Genomic DNA, 10281 nt, shown 5'->3' on the forward strand with positions numbered 1-10281 from the left:
TGCTAGTACCATTTACAATAGCACAAAACATGATATGCATAGATATAAATCTAACTGAATATGTGCAAGAGCTATCTGCTGAAAACTACAAAGCACTTTTGAAAGAAATCAGAGAAGACCTAAATAGAGAAATATACTGTGTTAATGGATTGGAAGAGTCAATGTTGAGATGTTCAGATTTCTCCACATTGGTCTGGAGTTTCAGTGTAATCCCAATCAAAATATCAGGAATATTTTCTGTGAAATCAAGAAACTGGTTTTAAACTTTATGTGGAAATGGGAAGGAACTAGAATAGCTAAAACAATTCTGAAAAAGAAAAGCTGAAAGAATCACAGTAATGATTTCAAGACTTACCATAAATTACAGCAATCAAGAATGTTTTATTGGTAAGTGGAAAGAAGCATAGATCAATGGACCAGAATAGAGAATCTAGAAAGAGATCTACAAACATATGGTTAATTCAACTTTGACAAATGTCCAAAGGCAATTCAGTGAGAAAAGAATAGTCTTCAATAGTTGGTGCTGAACAATTGGGCAATTTTATACACATACACACATATGTACAACTGTCTAATTTTTCAGTGTATGTAAATATGCATATCTTTTAAAAAGATCCTTGACTCATGCTTCCCACACTTTCAAAAAGTAACTCAAGATAGATTATAGACCTAAATGTAAAACCTAGGACTAGGAAATTTCTATAAGAAAACATAAGAGAAAATCTTTGTGGTCTTTGGTTTGGCAAACATTTCTTGTATTTGATAACAAAAGCACAATTCATAAAAGAAAATATTATAAATTGACTCCACCAAAATTAGTAACTTTTCCTCCTCAAAAAACACTCTCAGTAAAATGAAAATTTGACCTACAAATTGGGAAAAATATTTACAAAATATCTAACACTGGACTTATAGCTAGAATATATGCAGAATTCATACCAATAGACAAAAAGACAACCTATTAAAATAAGCGAATGATTTGAACAGACAATTCATCAAAGAAAACATATGCATGGCAAGTAACTACACAAAATGATGCTCATCATTATTAGTCATTAAAACCACAGTGAGACATACTGCACTATTATAATAGTTAAAAAAAAACAAAACAAACCAAAATAAGAAACCTTGACGGTAAAAACTACTGAACAGCAAGTGCTAGCAAGGAGCAGAGCAGAGTGGCTGGAACTGATTAGCACTGCTGGTGGGAAGGAAGGAAAGCATGAAAACAGGGAGGAAGGAGAGAAGGAAGAAAGTTGGTTCATTGGTTGGAGTAACCTTACCAGCAGGGTTTAAAGGGACCTTACTGGAATCTACTTAAGAAAGCCATGGCAACATCCCCCGATGGCAGCATCTGTGAGGCTCTTAAAGGTAGGAAGAGAATCTGAGTAACCTTAGCTACAGATAAAGGAGCATGGGGTTAATGAAGGGGCAGAAGTATTTGACCTTGTCAGCCTCTGGGGTAAGGAAAAGACTCCTGGATATGTTGAGATTGCTGGTAGTGCTAAGGACATTAGTAGAGTTTAACAGGGTCTTCAGCTACAGAGGGGCTGGAGTGAAGCTGAATACAGCACCCACCCCAAAAATTGTACATGCCCCTCATACAGTGAAGACCATATGGGTATAGCCCACCAGCAAAGGGTGAAGCTGTCTGGAATCACAGCTAAACCACTTTTGCCTTTGTTATCCTTCTTCCCTGCTCCCAACTGGTGGGAGCTAGAGTTTATAAGAGAGAAGGGGAAGAGGTGACTCAGATAAAAGATTCCCACACCCACTATGATCTGTGCGCTATCCTTGGTACATCCTCAGTATCTTAGAGATACTGGAGAAAATAATATGGACCCAGATGGAGAAAGGAAGGAAATGAGTAGTGAATTGAATTTGAGATTAAAGGATTTGTTTTTATTTTTATTTTAGTTGGTCAAGATTGGGGCCTAAATGCCAAAATAAGACTGTTAATAACAAAAGAAAGAAAAATTATAGACTGGCTAAAGTGTCATTAAGCACTGTGTTACCCATTGGCAAGGAGGGACTCAACATTGTATAGTTTTGATAAAATATATACCTAATTCATGTGTAAATTATACAAGCTTAGATTCCCCAATACATGGTTAGCTACACTAGTGGATATTTTTAGCTATTAGAATAATCTAAGTTAATCACAAAAGCTATGTACATTGAAAATCCCATTAGCTGAAACTTTAATTTCAGAAATTGGGCTAACCCATAATTAAATTTATAAAATATATTGATTTTACCTCTTTTTAAAAACTCATTTGAGACAGGGTCTCATTCTGTCACCCAGGCTGGAATGCAGTGGCACGTTTGTGGCTCACTGCAGCCTTGACTTCCTGTGCTCAAGTGGTCCTCTCACCTCAGCCTCCTGAGTAGCTGGGATCAGAGGCATGTGCCAGCATGCCCAGCCAATTTTTTTGTATTTTTTGTAGAGATGGGGTCTCACCATGCTGCTCAGGCTGGTCTTAAACTCCTGGGCTCAAGCGGTCTACCTGCTTCGGCCTCCCAAAGTGCTGGGATTACAGACATGAGCCCCCGCACCCAGTCTTCTTTTTTATTTATTTATTTTTTAATAATGTAATCTTTTTTAAAATTTTATTTTTTTATTTCAAAAGGTTTTTGGGGAACAGGTGGTGTTTGGTTACACAAAAAGTTTTTCTTTTCTTAAATATTTATTGAACTCCTGCTGTGTGCCAGATACTGTTCTTTATTTTAAAAAATTTTTTTTGATTTCCATAGGTTATTGGGGAACAGGTGGTATCAAAAAGATAATCCACCACGATCAAGTGGGTTTCATACAGGAAACAGAGCAAGCTATTTCTCAGAGGCAACTAGATTGCATAGACCCACGATATTCATTCCAATTGTTTGTTTTTCCTACTAATCATTCCCCAACAGAATTAACAGGACAGATGGCCCCAGGGCTACGCTTCCTAGAGTGGGTTTTTTGCTCATATACCGGGACCAAAACACTATCTCGCTATGTCCAGCTAGTTAGTAAAGTCATCTATACAGGCTGCAGATGATGCAAATAATTGCTAGGTTATGACCCTGATGTCATAAGAATTCCCTTAAGTAAAAAACAATTCAAAGCAGTCCTGCTCCTACCTCTAGACCCTCAGGATAGCACTCTCTGATTATGCGGGCTGTATAGAACATGGCCTTCCTGCTGACAAACTACTTCAGTTCTTATCTCATATTCCTGTAGCTATGCCTACAAAGGTAGTTCACACCCCCATACCTAACGCTTTAATGCTTTTTACCGATGGCTCTGGTAAAAATGGAAAAGCAGCTGTCTGGTGGGAACCACATAACTCCCTCACTCTATCTGGATTTACTAGCACTCAAAGAGCTGAGGTTGGAGCCCTAATATTAGCCGTAGAAACCTTTTCCACTCAGCATATCAATATTGTTAGTGACTGCTTACTCTGTTTATTTATTACAGAACCTTGAGACAGCCCTCATTAAGTCCACTCTTGAGCCCACCACTCTGACTGATCCCTCACATCTTCCCCTTTTCTGTTTTTTGCATCAGGTCTTGTTGATTGAAGAGTACATATATGTGCAGCAACGGGTTTGTCAGGTGTAGCGGCTACAGCTCGTTTTCCAGCTTTGCATCCTAGAATTAGTAAATAACATGAGACAAACATGAGTATAATCAGTAATATTCTTTTCGAATCAAAGAGTGGTCCCCAGGAGTGGAGGTCTATCCAGGAGAGGATAGACTCTTTTTGCAGTGGCAGTTAAATATTGAGGGGAGTTCAGGGCTGCATTGTCCTTTTGTATAGAAAACAGGTTTTGTAACTTGTCAGTAGTTATGCCCAAGGTGGGGTGAAGCCAGTTAATATCGCCGAGTAATTTTTGATAATCATTTAAGGTGTGTAAGTTGTTAGTATTTAATTTAACCTTCTGAGGTCTTACTGACTGGGAAGTTAGTATGTATCCAAGATATTTCCAAGGAGAGGACATCTGTACTTTTTCAGGTGCTATGATTAAACCTCTTAACTGTGAATTCTTTTTGACAGAGGCATATAGACGCAAAAGTGTTGGCTCTGTTGGGGCTGCCAGTAAGACATCGTCCATAAAATGGATGATCTTGCAATTAGGAAATTCTTTTCTACTGGGAATCAAAACCTGATTTCTATGATACACATAGTAGGACTGTTCAGCGTTCCTTGAGGAGTACTTTCTAATGAAATCGGCAAGCTGGCCTTTCATTATTGATAGCTGGTATTGCAAGCGCAAATTTTTCTCTGTCCTGTTTTGCAAGGGGAATAGTATAAAAACAGTCTTTTAAGTCAATAATGACTATAGACCAATCTGGAGGAATCGCCGTGGGGAAGGGAGCCCCTGTTGAAAGGGCCGCATGCGTTGCAAATTAGCACTGATAGCATGTAGGCCGTGCAAAAATCTCCATTTACTAGACCTTTTGGGAATGATGAAAATGGGCGAATTCCAAGGGCTGTTTGATGGTTCTATATGGCTGGCTTTTAATTGTTCCTCAACTAATTCATGGGCTCTTTGTAATTTCTCTCCCTTTAAAGGCTACTGTTCTACCCAAATAGGATTTTGAGAGAGCTACATCAGGGGTAGGGGAGGAATAACAACAGTGGCCATTATTAGAAGGGGGTCTGCAGAGTGACCCCCCCATTTGGCTAATAGGTCCCATCCCCAAAGATTAACAGGGATGGGCATGATTAGAGGTTGTATAATAACATAAGGACCCCTTCCCTGGAGCATTGCAGCTGTTATGTTTTGCCTGGCCAATTGATTTTGGTTGGCTTGTTGTCCACACAATTTATCAAATTCTGCTTTCCAGAGGAGGTACTGACTGGCTTCTAAAGTTGTTTTAGCTAATACTGACCAGTCCCATGGGGTTATATGGAAACTGTCTGCCATGGCCTCGATTAATCCTTTCATATATGGGCTAGCGGCTCCGTTTTCTCTAATGCTTTTCCTTATCTCTTTATAAGTGTCAAAAGTAATGGGTTCATATACCCAATCGCCTTGTTGATCTTGCATCACCGGGCAGGCCAAGAGCTCCCCTTCTAATGCCACTCGCCTAAGACAGGGTCCCATAACTGTAGTGTATCCCTTGTCTTTTTTCCAATTTATTTGGGGAGGGGGGCTCCAGAGAAACCTCTGTTTCCTCTTTTATATCTTTACCCAGTAATGGCAGGGCTGAGGGAGGAGGAGGAGGCAGTAAGGTAGGTGATGCTTCCTCTTCCCTTCCCTTTTTAGGCTCTTCTGTGTAGAGCGGGGCCAAAGCAGCCCTAACTAATGCCCATAACATTAAAGATGTTACTGGGACCTGTTGCCCTTGTGCATGATGTTGTTTAAGATTTCTCCACACTTGTTCCCAGAGTTCTAGGTCTAGCGTGCCTTCTTCTGGGAACCATGGGTTATTGGAAACAACAGTTTGCATTAGGTCCCTTAATTGAACCTGCGAAACTGAGGCTCCACTAGCTTTAAGCAGCTATTTCAATACTTTTATATACTGTTTCTGTCAAGTGGGTAACTGTTGTCCCATGATGAAACCCTAGCTTGAAAATTTCCCCGAACATGGAAAGCCCGACTGGGCATCAATGACTTACGGACGGCGCAGACTCTTCACCCTCATTTTTGAGGGTTCCATTGCAATCCGTTGTAGTGTTTCTCACAGCAGGCACCAGCTGCCAGGTCTGTCCCACACACCCTGGCTGAGCGATGGATGAAAGGAGTACTCAGACACAGGTATGCAGTGTAAGAGCTGCTAAGGGACTTGCCCGCACTAGGGGCTGAAGAGAGAGCAGACTTGATAAGCTAGCACTGCATGGTTTTATTTAGTACAGACATAATGCCGAAAGCCTGGAGCAAACACAATCTGCAGGTAATTAACATTATTGTTCCCCCTTACAGGGAGCAGTCGTGCGTGGATGGTCAAAGGTGGGTTTCTGGACAACATGGGTAAACAAGCCTATTGAGATAAATTCCCCTGTTATTTCCTTGTACCTGTGTCTCACCCTCTGCCCCAGGGTAAGAGAACAGCTGCCTTCAGCTTATTGTCCCCTGAAACTTTGCAGAGCCTTCTGACCTTTCAAAAGGCCTGCTTCTTTCCCTATAGCTTCTTCCACCACTCTGACAGATCTGCCACACCTCTTTTGAGTTCCCACAGAGGTAATACATGCCACACCACAGTGGAATCACCTGCTTGAGTATCAGTGTCCTCTCCAGGCTGAGCTCACTGGCTTTTAGCTCTGAATCCACAGCACTCAGCATATGACTTTAGCTGGCACAAATCCGATGTCCGTAGGTATTTGTTAAATGAATGAATAAATGAATAACTGATTATCTTTAATGAATCAAGTCTTGCCAACTAACTCACCTCTGGTGAAACGCATTATGCAACAGTGTTAAACAAACTAAATGCAAAATGCCAAAGTTTCGCATTACAACAGATCTCTTCATTTGTCCGACTAGAAATCGAAACTAGAAGGTGAAGTCACCAGGAAATGTTTGCATGATTATAGAGCCTTTGTCAAGTTCCAGTCATGGTTGAGCGGAGAATGCAGATTGTGAGCAGGATTTCCAGTTCAAAGAAAAACCTGGATTTTCTGGAGTAAAAACGTAACTATAATTGGAACTCACCTAGTAGAACTTATTTACGCACTACACACAATTAAAATTGCCAAGTCAGCCTACTTCCAATTAGGAAGGGGATCTTCTTACCCCATCTTTCTACTTCATTTTAGATGAACTGTCTTCTCAACTCATGCTGATAATTTTTTTCAATTTGTTTACTTACCTATAACTTCTCAAAGAAATGACAGCTTCTGACTTAGTAAATGTTTAAAGTGAAACTAAACGGACAAAAAGTCATGAAAGGTGACCATGGTTGTCAGTGAACCTCCATTTTGCCACAATTCTGCAAATCTGTTAAATGAGAAAATGGGGCTAGATAATTTCTGTGTTCTCATACATATTACACTTCAATTAAACAAGAAATAATTGAGTCATTCCACGAATCGATAGGCTGGAGGAATGCTTTTAAGTAGGAAGCTGACAAGTAAGCTATAAGTTTGCTTTCTTTTTTCCTTTTCAGTAGGAGGTAGGATACCTTTACTCAAACAATGTTTTGGGGCTAAGAAAAACTGTACCTGAGAGATGTTGGGAGGAACAACACAGCACTGAAAGTGGTTTTGGTGGTTGCCACTAGAGTTTCCTAATAATTTTACCAAGTGGTTTGAACTTTTGCCAAAACAAATGATTCATCTTCTTCTCTTTGGGAATTGTAATATATGTCAACAGTAACACACTAGTATGTTAATGGAAGAAATTTTATATGGATTACAGAGTCATTTTCTTGTGAGGAAGGCTCATAAGAAAGAAATTAGATATTTTTTCAGTCAAATGTTGGCACGGTTAATATTATTGTTTTATATAAATATATACTCCGAAAGGCGTAGCATACAATGGGAAATCATAATTACTGAATTGAATTCACTGCTGGATAGATGTATCATAGTTAACTTAGTGTTAAGTCCAATATTTCTTGAAATCTGCAACTATAAAAGGCATCAAAGTAACAAATATTTCTAGAGTTGGGATTATGAAATTGGTTGCTACGGGTTGGAAGGAAAATACAGGACATAATCCTACATGTGCTAAACAACTTCACATCTAAACAATGAGTAGTACAAATATTTTTAACTCTCCATTAACCTGAGCTTTCCACTTATCATCACCTGTCTAGCTTTCTGATGGTAAGTCAAAATATTTTACAATGATTTTTACTTTACTTGTATTAAGGTTAAAATAGCCATAATTTCATAGGGAAATGCATTTTTAATATATGAACTTGCTGCATGATTAAATAGCTTAGGTACTTTATTAAATTGCTTTTCTATTTCAACCATTTGAGAGAGGCTATTTTTTTCAGAATGCAGATTCAATGCTGCATTCCCACAGTATTTGCTATGCAAACATAACCAGGTAGAAGATAGAATACGTGATTTCTGAGAACAATTTCCTGACAGTTCTTCAGGATTTAGCTAAGTTCTTACATGATAGTTCCAAATTGAACATAGTTTTCACAGCCTAAACAGAAAACTTCTTAAGAAACAGCTGGTTTATTACCAGTTTATTATGAGTGGTGCCACATGCAAGGCATACAGTAGAACACTACTGCTTTTCCTAGATTTTCTTCTAGAGGAGCAGCAGAGTGTATCTGTTCCTATAATCCCCCGTGTAAACCACATAGGAATGATCCTAGAGTTGAGAGGAAGGACTGTTTTCTCTAACAGTTGAAATAAGATCACAATGCAATACCATCTTACCTTTACGAGAATGGCCATAATTTAAAAAATAAAAAATAATAGATGTTTGCATGGATATGGTGAAAAGGGGACATTTTACATTGCTGGTAGGAAGGAAAACAGTATGGGGATTCCTTAAAGAACTAAAAGTAGAACTACCATTCAATCCAGCAATCCCACTACTGGTACCCACTGGGCCAAGTGGGAATGTCTTGGGGGTTGAACTCCCTGCAAAGTGCAGTTTGCATTTTGGAATGGGGAACTACAGGAACTACAGGGAACCTCCAGCAAAATTAGTTTAAAAAGGCTCATCCAGGAAATGCATGTAAGAGCTGGTCACTCTGTATTTCGAGCCCTCTTAAAGGTGCTAGCCCTTCAGAGAGAGAAAGAGGGCATAAATGACTTGGTGGTGACACGCTGTGGAGTCCCACCTACAATCAGCACACTTCTCTCCACTACACTAAACCCTAGGCCACAGCTCAGTTTCTCCTTTTATGAAAAAAATGTGGGAAATGAATCATCTAAGAATGAGGAAGAACAAGGAGAAGGACCCCCTTTTGGGCACCTCGTTGGTTTTATGGTGCCTCTACTTGCAAGTGTTTGTGTAAAATGGAAAAGGTCGAGGGCATGCCAGGTTCTCTAGTACTTCAGCTGGTTGCATATTACAGTCATTTTGTGCACATTTTAAACTGATGGGCAAATTACATCAAGGAAAAATTCAGAGCCCAGAGGTTGACCTGCAGCTAAAGAGTTCCTAAGTTGTCTATTTCTCTATTTTCTTTTCTGCTTGCTTTAAATCTGCTGTTACTTTTCTACTGAGATAAAACCCACTATTTGGGTGCAACTTTTAATTTTTGTTATTGTTTTTATAAACCAGTGAGTTTGTATTACTATCCCATGCCTAGCACTCTAAAGTAAAAGCTATAGGATCTTTGTTTCTGTGGGCATGTATATGTGTATTTATGTTTACATACATATATTTTGTTGTGTGCTTTGGCCACAAGGTACCAAATTGACTTAAAGAATACTCATAAAACTAAATAATAAGCCCAAATGCTTTTCAAGTTCATGTGACTTAAGTAAAATCTTTAATAAATAAGCTGGCTTTAAAATTATTGGTAAAGTCATGTTAGAAATGTCTTAAGAACTGTCAGCATTTTTGTTTCCATTTATTGATCAAGTGGTTTCGTACTTATCCCTGCCAAATACTCTAAGTTATCAAAATTTGCCATAAGGGCTATAGAAGTATAAACCCATCTAGCAATTCTACTACTAGGTATCTACCCAGAGGAAAAAAAGTCATTATACACAAAAGACACTTGCATATGCATGTTTATAGCAGCATAATTCACAATTACAAAAATATGAACCAGCCCAAATGCCCATCAATCAATGAGTGGATAAAGAAATTGTTATATATATCTATATATAACTATATAGATATAACTATACATAGTTTTATATATATACACACACACACACATATATATATATACACACACGCATATGTGTACACGAAATGTATATATATACATTTCTTGGTTCCCAACCAGGAAGCAAGGTGATTAACGGACGGTCGAGGCAGCCCCTTAGGCAGCTTATGCCTGCCCTGTAGAGCATCTCTGCAGGGGACTCTGGCCAGGTTGAGCTATGCGGATCCTAAGAGCACTTCCTAAGAGCGCTCCCAGATAGGTATTTGCCCCGGTGGAATTCCTCGTCAGAGTAGTGCACAGCAGGCCCCCGTTATAGTTATATATATAAAACTATACACACACACACACACACACACCATGTAATACTACTCAGCCATAAAAAGGAATGAAATAATGGCATTCGCAGCAACTTGGATGGAGTTGGAGATCATTATTCTAAGTGAAGTCACTCAGGAATGGAAAACCAAATATTGTATGTTCTCACTTATAAGTGGGAGCTATATATATATATATATAGTCATATATATAGTCATATATAT

General features: G+C 38.9%; 1 long non-coding RNA gene across 1 annotated transcript, besides 1 other annotated feature; it reads right to left on the reverse strand.

The window, feature by feature from the left end:
- Positions 1–3424: 3424 nt before the first annotated feature.
- LOC124904308 (uncharacterized) lies at positions 3425–5807 on the reverse strand. The gene is made up of 2 exons (XR_007066380.1): positions 5610–5807; positions 3425–3634 (listed from the first exon to the last, which is right to left on the reverse strand). It is a non-coding gene; the product is annotated as an uncharacterized LOC124904308 (long non-coding RNA).
- Positions 5976–6767: an enhancer, noted in NCBI's record as "OCT4-NANOG-H3K27ac-H3K4me1 hESC enhancer chr18:52274507-52275298 (GRCh37/hg19 assembly coordinates)". NCBI's record gives its function as "activates a minimal SCP1, AML or CMV promoter by ChIP-STARR-seq in naive H9 embryonic stem cells {active_cell/tissue: H9 hESC(naive)}" and the evidence as "EXISTENCE:reporter gene assay evidence [ECO:0000049][PMID:30033119]".

The sequence above is a fragment of the Homo sapiens genome, chromosome 18 (assembly GCF_000001405.40).
Source record: "Homo sapiens chromosome 18, GRCh38.p14 Primary Assembly".
In the NCBI taxonomy this organism is placed as follows: domain Eukaryota; kingdom Metazoa; phylum Chordata; class Mammalia; order Primates; family Hominidae; genus Homo; species Homo sapiens.